At 35.1% G+C, this 18,959-nt stretch overlaps 1 long non-coding RNA gene across 1 annotated transcript in view; it reads right to left on the bottom strand.

The window, feature by feature from the left end:
• The window catches only part of LINC02748 (long intergenic non-protein coding RNA 2748), a 70,456-nt gene extending 51,791 nt beyond the window's left edge, over positions 1 to 18,665 (bottom strand). Inside the window, exons 1-3 of the long non-coding RNA NR_183632.1 lie at positions 18,369 to 18,665; positions 9,764 to 9,907; positions 9,320 to 9,516 (exon numbers count right to left, since the gene is read on the bottom strand). This is a non-coding gene — a long non-coding RNA (long intergenic non-protein coding RNA 2748). The remainder of the gene's footprint in view (positions 1 to 9,319; positions 9,517 to 9,763; positions 9,908 to 18,368) is intronic.
• Between the last annotated feature and the right edge of the window lie 294 nt (positions 18,666 to 18,959).

The raw sequence follows: 18,959 nt of genomic DNA, 5'->3' as shown, positions 1-18,959 counted from the left end.
GGAGTAACAGGATGGCACTACCATGGACTCCCCTTTTCTTTCTATTATATATTAAAAGAAAAGAATCTGAAAGAATTAAACATATGCCACCCCATCATATGCCAGTCTGGCATATGGACTATTTTGAGTTAAAGGTACTTAAAAACCAGCAGGTACAAGAAGATCACTGTGACCTTTGAGCTATTTCTTAAAAGCAGGAGATGAAATTCCCATATGAAAATGTCTTCTTTCTACCAGAAGGAAAGTATCATTCTAGTATCATTCTCATCTTCCAGGACATAAAGTTGGGGCTGAGGGAAATCTGTATAAACCTTGTTAAATTAAGCCTTATCTTTCTTGCCACATCTATACCCAATTAATTATCTTAGCCAAATCCCTTTTGCCTTGTCACATTTTCATAGTTTACTACTATTTCTCCAATTCAGTAGATAAGCTTTCAACTCTAACTGCATCTTTGGTTCTTCATTTACTTGAGGAAGACCGCTATGTCACATAAAATTTACTTTAAATAAATTTGTAGGCTTTTTTCCTGTTCATCTTTCTCTTGTCAATTCAATTATCAGATCCAGCCGAAACACCTCGAAGATATAGGTAAAATGTTGTCTCTCCTACAGATTCATCCTACTTTTCTATTTAAGACCTAGCTTTGTGTTTGCTGATATGGTTTCTTCTGTTTCGTTGCTCAACCCTAACTACCTCTGGTAACTTGATCATGTGCCTGTTACATATGACACATCTTTCTGTTCTTCTAACACACCTTTTAAGAAAGAAAAATTGTAAACCATATCTTAGTTATATTGTCAGCCAGGAAGCATAATAATAATCATAAATTAGGCCGGGCGCGGTGGCTCACGCCTGTAATCCCAGCACTTTGGGAGGCCGAGGCGGGCGGATCACGAGGTCAGGAGATCGAGACCATCCCGGCTAAAACGGTGAAACCCCGTCTCTACTAAAAATACAAAAAATTAGCCGGGCGTAGTGGCGGGCGCCTGTAGTCCCAGCTACTTGGGAGGCTGAGGCAGGAGAATGGCGTGAACCCGGGAGGCGGAGCTTGCAGTGAGCCGAGATCCCGCCACTGCACTCCAGCCTGGGCGACAGAGCGAGACTCCGTCTCAAAAAAAAAAAAAAAAATAAAATAAATAATAATAATAATAATAATCATAAATTAGGGTATTTTTGAGATTTCTATTACACTGTTTTGTCATTTATTTTGAGTAATATTTCCTTCAGTGAAAATCAGTTTTACTCATAAATAAGTACAAATAAGTGCTACTTTCCATGTATACCTTAGAATTTTATCAGTTAGCAAGTTCACTACAGGTGTCCAGCTTAGAGCGTTAATATAACTTAAAGACAATGATTAGTCTACACAAAATTACAAACAGAATGGTATACATTAAACAGATTTTCAAGGGCATTAAATGACTTGTGTAACTAGTTGCTGTATAATCAAATCATGTTATAATAAATTACATAGAATAATGAAAATTCTCATAGGCATGCGCACAGGCAAGCATGCATCACAATTACACATGATGCTAGAAGTTAGACTGAGGCAATCACACTAAATTTATTCAGATGTTATTCATCCTAAATCATTTGAAATCTAGAACAAAGCTTATCAAATCTGAGATCAATAATATCTTACAAGGACTCTATATTATTTAATGAAGGACTTTTAAGGTCTTTTATTTTTCATAATGTATTTTTGGAAGTGCTGAATAGACATTAATGTAACTGCACTTTAATAATTTCAATTAAATACATTTGTCAAAACAATGTCACTTGTTAATGTTCCTCTACAGATATTTTCATGGAGGAAACCATATTAATGCTAAAGTCAGAGTCACTGCCTTTAAAAGCCCTTAAATGTTATTTGTGTAAAATGTGTGACTGGGAACATATACAACCAGTGAAATAGCAGGTTCCAGTATAGGAGATTATAACCCACCACAAATAACCTTGATAAAAGGCCAGTAACTTTCAAAAAAATCTTATCCAGTCTGCAGAGCCCACAAAATAAATTTTATAAGTGGCCCAGTAAAGAAGGTCAAATATTTTACACTGACAAAATTTTATTAAAGTGGCCCAGATCCTCAAAAGAATTACTGACAGAAGATATCTGAATCAAATAATGGCTTCTCTTATTTGCCCTATTGTATTTTCTTATTCCCTTTGGGCAACACCTCTCTTCAAATTGCCAAGGCTCCTCAGAGTCTCACACTGATATTTGCCATCTGTGTGTACGTATGCTGATCCAGCTGTCACTGCCTAGTTACCTGATATATAGACTGGGTTTTGATTCTATCTGTTTTCTTCTAGTGTTTGAGCCTTGTGTATATACAAGTTGATTCTTTTCTCTATATCTGATGCAGTTTGGATATTTGTCCCTGGCTAAATCTCATATTGAGATGTAACTACCAGTGTTGGAGGTGGGGACTGGTAGAAGGTGTTTGGATCGTGGGGGTGGATCCCTCTTGAATGGCTTCAGTCATCTCCTTGGTGATAAGTGAGCTCTTGCTCTGAGTTAATAAGAGATCTGGTTGTTCAAAAGTGTGTAGTAGCTTCCCTCCCACTCTTTTGCTATTGCTTCTGTACTACCCATGTGAGGTTCCTTTTCCCCTTTTGCTTTCTGCCATGATCAGAAGTGCCTTGAGGCCTCCCCAGAAGCAGATGGAGCTATGCTTCCTGTACAGCCTGCAGAACCATGAGCCAATTAAATCTCTTTTCTTATAAAATACTCAGTGTCAGGTATTTCTTCAGAGCAGTGCAAGAATGACCTAATACAATATCATTGCTTAGTATTTCTCACTGTAGGGTCAGCAAGTGGTTTGATGAGTAATGTCAAAGGAAAACAATGAGGAAAACATTTTTAAGTATATTTCAAAATTTTGAGATACTAAGTTAATTATGATTTTAGTATACATCCCATAGTATTCTTAATGATTTTTACATTTCTAAAGGTTTTTTTAAAGAAAGAAATTGATCATTTAATATTATTTGATATTAAATAGCTTTTAATGTAATTTTCCAATGTCTTTAGCATGTGGTGGTTTATATTTATCAAACATGAATGTTTCAATAGAAATGATTTTTATATTCCCAAAAAATAAAAATAAAAAGAATAGCTTAAAAGTGGTTAATTAACATATCATCACATTATCATTGTACTAGAAAATAAAGCCTAAAAAATGTAATAATAGTAAATAATTAAGAGGACATTTGGATGAATTTCTTTTTCTGGGGATAATGAAATTTAAAAGTGTCATGATTTTAAATAATTAGAAAGGTATGTATAGGAAATGTTACGATGATCATTTGAAAAAACAGATTTTTGGGGAACATCAATTCATTCTTCTCTAGTCCCCAGTGTGTTGTAAAATAGTGGCATGTAGCCATCAAGTGCTTTAATTTCTCCCCCAAAACAAAGTTAATTATTTTATAAAAATAATTGTTTTTCCCCCAGAGACAGTACAAAATAAAGCTCTCCATTATGAAACTGATTATTAATGTGGTTAAGACCACAAAAACCTCATTCAAATTTTATAATCTCAAAGACTGAGAGCAGAATGAGCTTTTGGCAAAATTTTTCAAATGATACTTTTCAGTGTCCTGGAAGATGAAGTCCAACAGCATGGAAGAGTAAAACTACCAAATTTACATATTTACATTCTGGGTGATTTTTTTTTTTTTTTAACAAAGGAAGTGGGAAATACATTACCAGACAGCTTTATTTTCTTCCGAAAGTATCTTGTGAACATTACAGATAATAGTTTAAATAACACAGAGGTGGTATAAGCTATAAGGCTGAAAGAATAATTAAGTGAAGAGAGGAGAAAAGATGCATGATTTAGAAAAGCATAGAATAAGCTGAAATTTGTAAAAAAAAAAAAAATTAAAGTGGCATGTCTACTACAATTTGAAAACTAGCTTAAGCCTTCATTTGCCCTTTCATTTTGTGAAGGCACAGCATTTGTTCCCCCTGGAGGATGTAGCAAAAAGGAATCATCTTGGAAGCAGAGACGGGCCTCTCACCAGATACCAAACCTGCTAGCATCTTGATCTTGAATTTCACAGCACCCAGAACTGTGATACATAAATTTCTATTTTTTATAAATTCCCAAGAATGTGTCAATTTGTTATAGCAACAAAAATAAACTAAGACAACAGATAGATAGATAGTTTTATATCTATTTTATTGATTTTTTTCCAAAAACCATCTCCCAGATTTGTTGATTTTTAGAAGGGTTTTTCATGTCTCTATCTCCTTCATTTCCACTCTGTGCTTGGTTATTTCTTGTCTTCTGCTAGCTGTGGGGTTTGTTTGTTCTTGGTTCTCTAGTTTTTTTAGTTGTGATGTTAGGGTGTTGATTTGAGACCTTTCTAGCTTTTTGAAGCTGGCATTTAGTGCTATAAAGCTCCTCTTAACACTGCTTTAGCTGCGTCCCAGAGATTGTGGTACATTGTCTCATTGTTCTCATTGGTTTCAAAGAATGTCTTGATTTCTGCCTCGATTTCATTATTTACCCAGAAGTCATTCAGGAGCAGGTTGTTCAATTTCCATGTAGTTGTGTGGTTTTGAGTGGATTTCTCATCTTGAGTTCTAATTTGATTGTGCTGTGGTCTGAGAAGACTGACACGATTTCAGTTCTTCTGCATTTGCTGAGGCGTGTTTTACTTCCAATTATGTGATCAGTTTTGGAGTAAGTGCCATGTGGCCCCAAGAAAAATGTATATTCTCTTGTTTTGGGGTGGAGAGTCCTGTAGATATCTATCAGGTCCACATGGTCCAGAGCTGAGTTCAAGTCCTGAATATCTTTGTTAAATTTCTGCCTCAATGATCTGTCTAATACTGACAGTGTGATATTAAAATCTCCCACTATTATTGTGTGGGAGTCTAAGTCTGTTTCTAGGTCTTTAAGAACTTGTTTTACGGATCTTGGTGTTCCTGTATTGGGTGAATATATATGTAGGATAGTGAACCCTTCTTGTTGAATTGATCCTTTTACCATTATGTAATGCCCTTCTTTGTCATTTTGATCTTTGTTGGCTTAAAGTCTATTTTGTCAGAAAATAGGATTTCAACCCCTGCTTTTTTCTGCTTTCCATTTGCTTTGTAAAGTTGCCTCCATCCCTTTATTTTGAGCTTATGTGTGTCTTTGCATATATGATATGTCTCTTGAATACAGCACAATAATGGGTCCTTTGTTTGTTTGTTTGTTTTTAAGAAGAAGTCTCCCTCTGTTCCTCAGGCTGGAGTGAAGTGGCATGATTTTCGCTCACTGCAATCTCTGCCTCCTGGGTTCAAGTGATTCTCCTGCCTCAGCCTCCAGTGTAGCTGGGACTACAGGCACATGCCACCATGCCTGGCTAATTTTTGTATTTTTAGTAGAGATGGGATTTCACCATATTGACCAGGCTGGTTTCAAGCTCCTGACCTGGTGATCCACCCGCCTCGGCCTCCCAAAGTGCTGGTATTACAGGTATGAGCCACTGTGCCCGGCTGGTCTTGTCTTTTTATCCAGCTTGCCATTTTGTCTTTTAATTGGGACATTTAGCCTATTTACATTTAGTGTTAATATTGTTATGTGTGAATTTCATTTTGTTGTCATGATGCTAGCTGGTTAATTTTTCAGACTTGTTAATGTAGTTGCTTCATAGTCTCATTAGTCTGTGTACTTCAGTGTCTTTTTGTATTGGTTGGTAATGGTTTTTCCTTTCCATGTTTACTGCTTCCTTCAGGAGCACTTACAAGGCAGGCCTAGTGATGATGAAATCCCTCAGCATTTTCTTGCCTAAGAAGGATTTTATTTCTTCTTTGTTTATGAAGCTTAGTTTGGCCAGATAGGAAATTCTGGGTTGGAAATTCTTTTTTTTTAAGTATGTTAAATATTGGCCCCCAATCTCTTCTGGCTTGTAGGGTCTCTGTTGAGAAGTCTGCTGTTAGTCTGATGTGCTTTTCTTTGTAGGTGACCTGGCTTTTCTGTCTGACTTAGCATTTTTTCCTTCATTTTGACCTTGGAGAATCTGATAATTATATGTCTTGGGGTAGATCTTCTCATGGAGTATCCTATTGGAGTTCTCTGGATATCCTGAACTTGAATGTTGGTCTGTCTTGCTAGTTTGGAGAAGTTCTCCTGGATGATAACCTGAAGTGTGTTTTACAACTTGGTTCCATTCTCCTTATCTCTTTCAGGTATTCCAATCAGTCGTAGATCCAGTCTTTTTACATAGTCCCATAGTTCTTGGAGGTTTTGTTCATTCCTTTTTGTTCTTTTTTTCTCTAATCTTGTCTGCCTGCCTTTTCTCATTTGCTTGTTTGATACGCCTATTGATAGTTGTGTTTGCATTGTGAAGTTCTTGTGCTGCGTTTTTCAGCTCCATTGGGGTGTTCAGGTTTCTCTCAAAACTGGTTATTCTAGTTATCAGCTCCTATAATCTTTTATCATGGTTCTTAGCTTTTTTGAGTTGGGTTAGAACATAATCCTTAAGCTCAGTGAAGTTCGTTATTACCCACTTTCTGAAACCTACTTCTGTCATTTCATCCATCTCAATTTCAGTACCATTCTGAGCCCTTGCTGGAGAAGTGTAGCAATCATTTGGAGGAGAAGAGACATCCTTGCTTTTGGAATTTTTAGTGTTTTTGTATTGTTTTTTTCTCATCTTTGTGGATTTATCTACCTTTGATCTTTGAGGCTGTTGACTTGACCTTTGGATGGGGTTTTTGTGGGGTCTTTATTGTTGATGTTGTTGTTTCTGCTTTCTGTTTGTTTTTCTTCTAACAGTCAGGCCCCTCTTCTGCAGGTCTGCTGCAGTTTGCTGAGGGTCCACTCCAGACCCTGTTCATGTGGGTATCACAAGTGGAGGCTGTGGAACAGCAGATTGCTGCCTGCTCCTTCCTCCAGAAACTTCATGCCAGAGGCACACTTATCTGATGCCATCCACAACTCTCCTGTATGAGGTTTCTGGCAACCCCTTTTGGGAGGTCTCACCTATTCAGAAGACACGCTATCAGGGACCCGTTTAAGGAAGCAGTCTGACTGTTTCTTAGTAAAGCTGTTGCACTGTGCTATGGAATCTTCCTCGTCCAGATTGCCCAGGCTCTTTAGAGCCAGCAAGCGGGAAATATTAAGACCACTGAAACTGAATGGGTTTATGGAGTTTCTCATGCTGACATATTAGAATTCAAACTCCCCTAGTCTTTTTTTGCTGATTGTCAGTTCAGAAAATCAAACCCTTTCATCTTCTGTTGTCTAATTTCCGACATATGCTTATAGCAAATATATTTTCTGGTACACCTGCTATATTTTAATGCTTCTATAAAAACATTATGTATTATTATAAACTTTGATTTATTCTCCCTACTATATTTCCAATCATCTTTAAGAATTTCAAAGCACTGCTACATTGGTTATCCATGCATATACTCCATTAACCACTTTGCATGACTCTGAAAACATAGGTTAAACATGTTTTCTAAGTAAATTGTAGGTGGGTCATAGTTAATTGTAAGCTTTCTTCCATCATGAACTTCAGATTCTAATAAACAATATGACATTGAAGAAGAATATGTTGTTATCAAAAAAGAAAACATCTCCTACAACTCTTTCTGTCTACTTTACTCTTAAGCTCTTAATTAGTGATGGAAGGGAGGGCAAACAAGCCTTTAAAGACAACAGAGAAGTAATTGAAGGTGGTGTTTAGTGACAAGAAAAGGCTATCTATTATATATACCAAATGGTGTTTATTGGAACACTTTCTGCAAAGTCTGTAAGTGGCAGTGTCAATCCCCTGGAAAGATCTGCAACAATGTGGCTTAAAAGAGAGACCAAACCCTTAACCAGGAATGCCTGAAATCTTGACAGAATAAGTGAACCTTAAGCCTTCCAGCACTCTGAATATATGCTATATATTTCTGTTGACTTGGAGTTATTTCCCTAAGTGCCCTCTTTTGGGGTACTATCACTGAAATAGCATCAGGTGTAACATTCCTATTTTTCTCATCATATGATGAGGTGACTGTAGAAGAAAAAGAGATTAGTAGAAAAGCCTTTTTATTCAATTCACAATTACATAGATGCATATGCATGTAAATATGTAATAGTTTCCATAGATTAGCATAGATCATAATTATTGACTGAAAAGTAAAATTAGGTATAGTGCTTACTGTTATATTTTTAAAGATTCTAGCACTAATTATGCTGTGGTAATTTCACATTTCAAGTGTTTCTGTCTTTTTTTTTTCTGAATCTTTTACCTCCTCCCTTGCTCTATATTCTCTGGCAGCAGCATCCTTCTCTCAACTTCTTCCAGTTTTACTATAATAATTTCTTATAAATACAGATCATCTGAAATAATACAAGGTTTAGCACCACATTTTACAACCAATTTGAGATATGGGCTGTTGTCACTGTTGTGAGAACATGGAAGAGTCTATGAATTAATCAACAAAAGGTAGTAAACATAAATAAATGAGACAGTATTTTCCACTTGTAGTTTAAAGTACATTGAGTCTGATAACCTTTATTAAACCTTGTGTTCACTTGCGAGGAAATCACTATACCTGGTGGAGGTGACTCTGAGCCCTGGTGTCCAATTTGCTGAATTCAAATCCCAATTTTACAACTTATGAGCTATTTGAGTTAAGGAACTTATTCAAATGTTTATATCTTAATTTTCCCAATGATTAAATTTGGGTTAAAAACAATATCTACTTTAAAATTATACATGGATTAAATAAATTCATATGAAAGTGCTGAGTATAATGCCTGGTACATGGTGAATACTCAATAAACATTAGTTATTAATATAGTCATTCAATATACTGAAGCTAGTATTGCCGTTATCTTACCATCTCTTTTCCATTTTTTAACTGAATTTATTCAATGAATGCTTCCTATTTTATGCTTTTTTTAAAGTTCAAACATCGTATGTAGATATGTCTTATATCTCAATATAGCAGAGAATATACTTCCAGTCTGTATAAAAGATCTGTTTCTATAGCTAAATATTCTCACTCAGCAGGCTTTTTTATTGTACTAACTCCCTGTCACAGTTTAGGCTTTCAAATTTTTTTGAACTCATAAATGACTTCATGATATGATTAACCACTGAATTGCAATATCATTTTTCCCATTTTATTTTTTAATCTAATAAATTTGGCTTGATGTTTCCTAACTGTGCTTATTATCCAACTAAATTATAACTCTTTGAGAATAAGAACTCTGTTTTATGCTTCCCCATATTATCTGAAAGATGTGTTGATTTAATGAAAATAGATTACATAAGTAACAATATAGCTGAGTTCTATAAAACTCACCAGTGACTAAATCAGGGCTCATAACATAATGAAATTGGGGTTCCTTAATGAAGCCTCACTTAGATTGGTTTGGTTGCTTCTTCCTGTTTCCTAAGTCACATGTAAAGACTTGTGATCCTCCAGTTTGAACTTGGTACAAAATGGTATTCTTGGAGAGTACTAAGTCTTTCTTGATGTAAGAGACACAGATTGTATTCCTGTAACAGTGAAAGAGATATTTTTATTTTGGATTTTGCTTGCATTAGCACTTTCTTCATTATTCAGTTTAGGTCCCAAGCTAATATAGCACAAAGAAATAACTCTTCATACTTAAACATATTAGAATAATTATGTGGTCTGAAAAAAATATGGACTTTCTGGCAGAAATGCAGTACAGAATAAACACAGACCAATGAGTCAATAAAGATATATTAAAATGATTAAGTATGATAGCTATACCATTACCTCCAGGATCTACATTTGGATAGACTTCATTGATTTTACTTGCAGTCCCATCCAAATTTCCTTTACACTGTATTCTTTCTTGCAGTGACTCGTTAATATTTTGAGTTCCACTTTGCAGAGACTGTATTTGCCTGAGTTGGAGACCTGTATATAGAAAAACATTTTACAAGTGAAAGTAAAGACTACCTTAGAATTTTATTTAGCTGGAACTTATCATATTACTTACTCTTTTTGTAAAATAAGATTTTATTTAATCCAAGGGAACTTTAGAGGTTATTTAAACTTATTTGGGTAGTATAAGGGGTAAAAAGGACTTAACATTTTTACTAATAAAAGATATCAATATCTTACTTTATGGAAACTTAATCACTTGGACTTCATTATAAGAAAGATAATACTGCCTTATTTAATTCTGACAACACTCTCTTGTAGGAAATACTATATTAACTATTTTACAAATATAGATCAAGGTCTCAAAGTGAATGCCTAGCTCACAATGATCAACCTGATCTGTGATACAACACCATATGTATCTAAATTCAGATATTTTAACCTTTTAAAATTCATCACCCTGCTTTCATACTTTATTCTCTGTACAATAAAATGTCACATTTATATGAGCATGCTAATTTATCTGGCCCTCAAAATATACAGAATCTAATCATAATGACAATATTGTAATTGCATTTTATAAATTCCATATTATCTTTGATTAATACTAGTAAAGAATCCATAATATTTGCTTCAATAAGATATTTTTTGAAAGGGGATACAGATGTGAAATCATTTGACTTACATGTAATTTGCATATTCTGAATGACAATTTTGCCCTGAAATCCTCAGTGACAGTTGAATTTTAAGTTGGACCATACGTCATCAAATAAATAATTTGCCTTGGAATTTGACTTGTAATAATGCCTAAGCCTTCAACTTTGACCTTATTGTCATTAGATATTAATGATCTATACCAAAGAATAGCAAAGTTTATGCTAGCTTTTATTGAGATTTTATTTACAAGGACATACAGTCACTAAAATTCATTAGGTTCATAAGTGGAACTTTGTATCCTGAATGTATTCATGCCTTAAATGAATTGCTTTAAGATATGAAATTGAATTCATATTATACAGTTAATGAGAATATATTACATAGATTTTTCTGTTACTTTCTTCACACTTTTCTCTCCTACTTAGATATTAGAGTAATTTGGAGTTTGAGGGTAAAAATCCATATTTTAAAAGGGCACCGTTTAAAATATAAAACCAGTTATTGGAAGATAAACCAGTCTTATATATGACACTTGAATTTATACTCAGTAGAATTAACAAATCTATACAAAAGCCTCTTCAAAAATAAAAGTGACCATGATCACCAGTAATTTATTCCACCATGTTTTACACCATATAGTCCATGTTTATGAGCTAACATTGAATATTCCTTACATCTCCCTGTTCAGAATACGGTGCAGGGAAAGGTATCTGTATGCAACACTGAGCAGTATCAAAAGGCAGTGGTCATGCCTAAAATACACTATAAAGGTCACTACTGGAAAAGGAATAAATGTTGTATCCCAAGGCATACTTTCTTCATTATCTCCCGAAATGCTCTCAAATGCGGTATCTCTGTAAGAATTATAGCATACGTAACACCATCTTTCATGGGGCAAAGTTCATTTTGCTAAAGCATTCAGCATTTCATGATTCTTGCTTGGAAATTTGGCTTGCAACAAGAAGTCCAAGGGTAATCTGAAATAATCCACGGAGGCTTCAAAAATTTCACTGTGCATTCTATAAAATACACTTTATAGTAATAATTTCATTGAGAATACCTAATTAGGCACTACATATTGACGCTATGCATCAGAGATGGGAGTTATATCAATTGACCATTTCATTTATTGAGTTTGACAATCTAAATTCTCAATTAAAATGACAAATGACTTTCTTGTAGCCAAATGATACTTCACCTTGCAATTTTCCTTTCCCTTTTCAATCTTATTCTAGCATAAAGACAGAGACTATTGTTCATAAATATTGTAAACATCTACCATTTGCTTTGTTCAGCCTCAACGGTTATTTTTATGCAATTAGCATCTTGTATCTATTATTACTGGCAATTATCATACGATATTTAAAACATACAATTTAAGACAATAAACACTAGAATGCCTTAGACTCTACCACCCTCTAATGTGTTTCTGAGAAGAAGCCGCAGCCTTTGTCATTGTTTCTTTCAGCAAATATTTACTGCAATGCTTTTTTGTGCTGTGCACTTTACTGGGTGCTTTAATTGATGACTCAGCTCTGCTTGTTTGATACAAGAAATGTATCTCCGTTCATCTTTTTTGCTTCTCTCTCTGTTCATTGTTACTTAAAATCTAGCTTAAGAACTCCACAGATGTGATTTGGGAGTTTCAGGGAAGTTCCTTATAAACAAAGATCATGATTATTTGAAAAGAATGACTAGAACATGCTATTTTTCATGTGATATATTTTCATCTGCAAAGCACATCTGGACAGAACACTTCTGGCAATAAATAATAAAACAGCAACATAGTAGATAAGGGAAAGTCTGATCCAAAAGAAAACCAGTCAAGGCTATACATATCGGCCAGCAGGCAAATAAAAGCAAGGGAAATCACTGTTTACAGTGAGCAGGTGGTGATAGAAGCTGATAAAAGAATGAAAAAGGAAGAAAATAGGATTCATGCTCTGAAGATTTTGAAGTCAATGCTACAGCTGGCCTGGTGACCCAAAACACAACAGTGCCCACCCCACAGGCACAACATATCTGGCTCAAGGCTGAAGTCACAAATACAGTACTGAGTAACCCTCTGTCTGGGAACTTTAAAGCCAAACAAGGTCATGGAAAAGTCAGACTGTTCTTTTTCTTGACAGCCAGTGCATAGAGCAGGGTACAAACTTAATTTTTGCACAGCTGTGGAATCCACTGAATGTTCCTGCACAGAACAATCTGCCTGTGATGGAGATGATCTGCTGGAAGCCCTACAAAGCAAGAATTACAGACATCAGGCAGGTTTGTTCGTGAAAGCAAGGCTTACTACAATTATGTCCAAATAAGCAGTACAAAGTACATGTTCTCTAATGGTGTGGGGGGAGGTACCAAATTCATGCTATTTCAACTATGTAATTGTCAAGTAAGACTGAGTCACTGCCAAAAAGCAATTCCACATTTGTGAGATTGTTGCACTGCCCTCCTATAAATCATTCAGCAAGACAGGTGCTTAGCCTTCAATTGTGCTTTCTCTATCTGGGAAGTGTCTGGAATTTTGGAAGAAGCAAATGGGAGACAGAAGAATGAATAATGAACAAGTTTCTTTGGATTTACAATTTTACTGTTAGAAGTTCTTCACTTCACTATAAGAACATAAATTATAGTAGTAAATTTATATATAAAGCATATTATGTGCTAGATGTGGTTTTAAAAACCTTACAAATAATAACCGCTTTAATTTTTGTTAACAACCCTAGGAGGTCAATACCAATAAGGAAATTAGTAATGAAGAAATCAGTGAATGTGGGATTTGAACCCTTGGAATTTGGCTCCATGCTTTGTGGTCTTTAACCCTATTCTGTACTGACACTCTAGGAATAGAAAGATAAATAGAAATAGATGAGTGATAGTAGTATGGGAGAATTAGGTCTCTTAATTGCAAGCAACAGAAAGAAACTGGCTAAGAGAAAGGGTGGTTATGAAAGGGTGAACACAGAATCAACAGGAGGCAGGGGTACAGGAGAACATTGAAAGGACAAAAGTTAGCAAGTGGGGAACATGAAGATTGTTTCACAGCTAATGAACTTGGTCTGTCTGCAGGCACTATTTCTGCCTCTGAGATAATTAACCAACTTTAAACCTACAATGTGCACCCCTACCTCAAGACATAAAATCCTGAAACCGTCGGAGTTTAGGCCATGTACCTGCCTTCTGTCTGATGGGCCTTGAAGAGGACCTATATCCTTTTTTATTTCATTTGAGAAGTAGATTTTGGAATTATATTTCTCCTAAAATTAATGGGACAGAGAGCTTTCTGAAATAGAAAACAGAAAGTTGTAACATATTCACCCATACTGCTGTCACTTGCCCTGCACAATGGACAAGTAAACACACCTGCAGCTTCACTCTCTTTAAGAACTGTGCACAAAGATGGCTGGTGTATTGGAGCTGCTCGGCATGGAGTAATTGTGGAAAAAGAACGAATTTTCAAGTCAAGCACACTCAATGGATGAGGTATTTATCTATCTGAACTTGGTTTTCTCATTTATTAAACAGAGTTAGTAATTATTCCTATTGCATAGGGTTGTTGTGGGGATAAATTAAACAATGTGTGTGTGATGTTCCCCTTCCTGTGTCCATGTGTTCTCATTGTTCATTTCCCACCTATGAGTGAGAACATGCAGTGTTTGGTTTTTTGTCCTTGCGATAGTTTGCTGAGAATGATGATTTCCAGCTTCATCCATGTCCCTACAAAGGACATGAACTCATCATTTTTTACGGCTGCATAGTATTCCATGCTGTATATGTGCCATATTTTCTTAATCCAGTCTATCATTGTTGGACATTTGGGTTGGTTCCAAGTCTTTGCTATTGTGAATAGGGCCACAATAAACATACGTGTGCATGTGTCTTTATAGCACCATGATTTATAATCCTTTGGGTATATACCCAGTAATGGGATGGCTGGGTCAAATGGTATTTCTAGTTCTAGATCCCTGAGGAATCGCCACACTGTCTTCCACAGTGGTTGAACTAGTTTACAGTCCCACCAACAGTGTAAAAGTGTTCCTATTTCTCCACATCCTCTCCAGCACCTGTTGTTTCCTGACTTTTTAATGATCGCCATTCTAACTGGTGTGAGATGCTATCTCATTGTGGTTTTGATTTGCATTTCTCTGATGGCCAGTGATGATGAGCATTTTTTCATGTGTTTTTTGGTTGCATAAATGTCTGGTGGGGGGAGTGGGGAGGGATAGCATTAGAAGATATACCTAATGCTAAATGATGAGTTAATGGGTGCAGCACACCAACATGGCACATGTATACATATGTAACAAACCTGCACCTTGTGCACATGTACCCTAAAACTAAAGTATAATAATAATAATAATAAAACAATGTGTGAAGCATCTATGTTAGTAGGCTCTCAGTAAATGTTATTCCCTTTCTTCCTAGATTCAATTACTGAGTCCTCATACACTAACAGAATTTAATAAAAATTGCTACCTTTTATTGTATATTCTTTATGCTCTCTGCACTTCTGCTAAGCTTTTCAAATACTGTTTCTTGCTTTAATGTTGCAAAAATCCTGTAAACATGGGTTCTATCATCTTCATTTACAGATGAAAATGCCAAAGCTTAAAAAGGTTAGTTGATTTATCCAGTTTCACACTGCTTGTAAGTAACAATGCTGAAATTCAAACCTAAATCTATCTTTACAATCTTTCTTCTTAGACTTTCTTCTTAGACTTCTTCTTAGACTTTACCATCCTAGACTTTTAAAAAAAAGTATAGTTTGTGATATTGTATCACAAGGATATTTTTGCATTTATTTGCTCTATTTCTCAAATACCTGTATAACTTTTATTATTTCACTTAAAATATTATTTATTTTTTACTATAATCAATGAAATTGAAAAACTTAATAAATTTTAAATTCAAGAAATATAAACATAAAACTCAATTTATAGTACATATGAAAACAGATTATGTTTTAAAGTAATTAGCAGACAAAATTAATATTTTTCAATAATATTAACACAAAAATGAAGAAAATTTAACCAGAAAGTATTTAAATGAAATATTCCCATTAATTTATTCTTAAAGAGGAATTGTTTTGAGGTACAGAAATACTTTGAACATTTTTTTTAGCTGCTGAAAGCTATTTCTGATTTTAAACCAATCTGCTAAATTGAGTTATGACCTAACTTCAAATATTTCCCTCTGACTCCATCTTAAAATAATGACCCATCCGTGTTGGAACTTGAAAATAAAAATAAAGTGAGACAATGGGATACAACAGGCATTGCAGACATAGGTGAGTTTTCTCTGTTCCCTCTCAGTTTCAGGCTGACTTAATGGGAAGTGGCTACAGGATGGAAATATGAAAAGAAATTCCTGAATGCCCAAAGTGTTTGCTGAGAAATCACTAACTCTTGTGGTCTTGGTGGCAGGTATGAGGGCAATGTTAAGTACAGAGAGATTATTAGGGGTCAGTTATGTCCTGTTTTAGGTTAGTCACAAAGAGTAAAGAGGGTTGGGCCCAGCCGTATAAAAACTGTGTCCTCACTTGCACCTTTTAGGCCATAATAGAGAGAGACAGATTTTGTCCTGAGGTCGATGAATGTTTTCCATATCTTAGGAGACCTGGTCATCTGACTCTTCTTTGTACTCCCAGGCAAAGGGCCTCTCTACATCTAATGAGCTAAACTCTTGACCAATTCCCATTGTCACAGCCCGCATCCAGAGTTAACTGCATTTTAGGGGAGGAGGACAGAACAACAGAATCACAGTGATAGATGCCTGAGTCAGAATCGAGAGGCCATTTTTGTCTTCCTGACCAAGAGTAGGAGTCCTGGGTCAGGACTTGGAAGAATTTGACCTCCATTCCTAATTTATTACTGAAATGTTAGTACTTCTTCAATAAATAATGGGTATATTGTGAATTTTTTAATATGCACTATATACAGTTATGCACCACATAAGGATATTTCAGTCAAGACCATACAACAGCAGTCTTATAATAATATAAGAGCTGAAAATTCCTGTCACCTAGTGACATCATAGCTGTTGTAGCATCATAGCACAAGGCCTTACTCACATGCCTGCAGTGATACTGATATAAATAAACCAACTGTGCTGCTAGTTGTATGAAGTATGGCACATACAATTATGTAGACTATGTAATACATGATAATGATAATAAATGACTGTTACTGGTTTATATATTTACTATACTATGTTTGTGTTGTTATATTAGAGTGTACTCCTTCTACTTATAAAAAAAAGTCAAGTGCAAAATAGACTTAGGTGGGTTCTTCAGGGGATATTCCAGAAGAAGACACTGTTATCATAGGAGAAAACAGTTCCATGTGTGTTATTGCCCCTGAAGACCTTCCAGTGAGGCAAGATGTGGAGGTGGAAGATAGCGATATTGATGACCCTGACCAGTTGTAGGCCTAGGCCAGTGTGTGTGTGTGTCTTAGTTTTTAACAAAGAAGTTTAAAAAGTAAAAGAGAAGATAAAAATATTAAAAAGAAAAAAGCTTATATGTTAAGAATAAAAGAAAGAAAATATTTTTTTGGAGAGCTGTACATAAGAAGTATTATAAAAGAGTCAAACAAATATAAAAGTTTATGAAGGAGTTCGTAAACCTTAGTTTATGAAGCTAAGGTTAATTTATCATTGAAGAAATAAAAATGTTTTAAGTAAATTTAGTGTAGGTTCAGTGTACAATGTTTCTAAATTCTACAATACTATAATGTCCTAGGGCTTCGCATTCATTCAGTACTCACTCAGTGACTCATCCAGTGTCACTTCCAGTCCTGCAAGCTGCATTCATGGTAAATGATCTATACCAGTATATCATTGTTCAAATCTTTTATATCATTACTTAACCATGCATTTTCTATGTTTAGATGTATTTAAATGTACAAGTATTATTGTGTCCCAATTGCCTACAGTATTCAGTACAGTAATGTGCTGTACAGGTTTATAGGGTTTATAGCCTAAGGGCCATATACCATATAGCATATGTGTGTAGTAGGCTATCCCATCTAGGTTTGTGCGACCACATTCTGTGATGTTCACACAATGACAAAATCACCTAACAATGCATTACTCAGAATGTATCCCCACTGTAAGGGACACATGACTGAATTAGAAACACTATTGTAATTACTAATTACTTTGATTTATGATGATACCTTCAATTCAACCTCCCCAAATGAATAAAGAATTAATAACAAACATATAGAATATACACAGTAGTGTTAGATGCATTTCTAAGTAAGTGCATAAATCTAAAATCTCTTCCTTAAATATAGATTCTCTTTTGTTTTTCACTAATACAAGGGTTCTTTGGTAACTTGAAATCTGGAAACAATTTAATAAAACAGCTTTCCTTTACCAGGTATGGTCATGGCTATTCTGGACTTGTATTCTGAATCTTAACATTTTTGAAGAGAACACTAAGATTTCTATGTTATTTATGTTAGAATAGACTCAACAACTAGTCAGCTGAGGCAAAGGTTCAACTTGCATAAGTGATTGAAAGTGCTGATTTCAGCCTAAACCTTTAGAAATAAATGCTGAGTTTCTACTTGCTTTATATGGTTGTTACCTGTCACCCTGTAAGCCAAGTGCAACTGAGTTGAAACTGACAATCACTCTAATAACTGTTATGATGTTGCCTTATTGTTAAACTGATAGTGATGGGTCAGGCAGAAGAGGACACATTCCATCTGCCACAGAGGAACCATGCTGTGCAGCCCAAATCCCTCATCACCTTTGCAGCTGCTTCTCTCATGCATTTGCCAATTTTATATAGGCCCCAAAAAATAAAGAGCAGAACGTTCTATATCATTCGTACCTTTGTTTTGGGAAGCAAGGATAGTAGTAGGGCCACAGGAAGTCGAAAATTAGATGCATTATTTTTCAAGAAAATATTTTGCCACAATAACTTTGTTAAGGCTTTAAAATGACAAGCCAATTATTGGTTCAGAAATTGAGAGAATAAACATATTTTGATCATAAAGAAAACTTCTTAAACAGTTTCTTAAACATTGAAAACCTCCCACAATTCCTGGTTAAAAGTTAGACATATAAAATATTTCCTTCTTTTTCTTTTAGAATCACATCTTCCAGAAGAAACATTCTCATGTCTATTAATTTAGAATTTAGAATTTAAGTTTAAAATTCCATGGAATATAGGATAAATCAAGGGATGATCATGAGGTCACTCCTTTGTACAGTAGGTAATTACATAGCCATTTGTGAAAACTTGAATTAATCAGCTTTTTAACTAAAGTATCAGCATGGAGATTGGAATGCATGTGTTTTCACTTCTAATAGGGAAGCTTTCACAATATTAACTTTTCAAGAAAGACCTACATTTTCAGGATGGCTGATAACTTCCATTATATGAAAATGTTTTCAGTTGGTTGTGTTGGTGGTATTATAA

The sequence above is a fragment of the Homo sapiens genome, chromosome 11 (genome assembly GCF_000001405.40).
Source record: "Homo sapiens chromosome 11, GRCh38.p14 Primary Assembly".
Classification (NCBI taxonomy): domain Eukaryota; kingdom Metazoa; phylum Chordata; class Mammalia; order Primates; family Hominidae; genus Homo; species Homo sapiens.
This window is presented reverse-complemented; position numbering and strand designations above follow the sequence as displayed.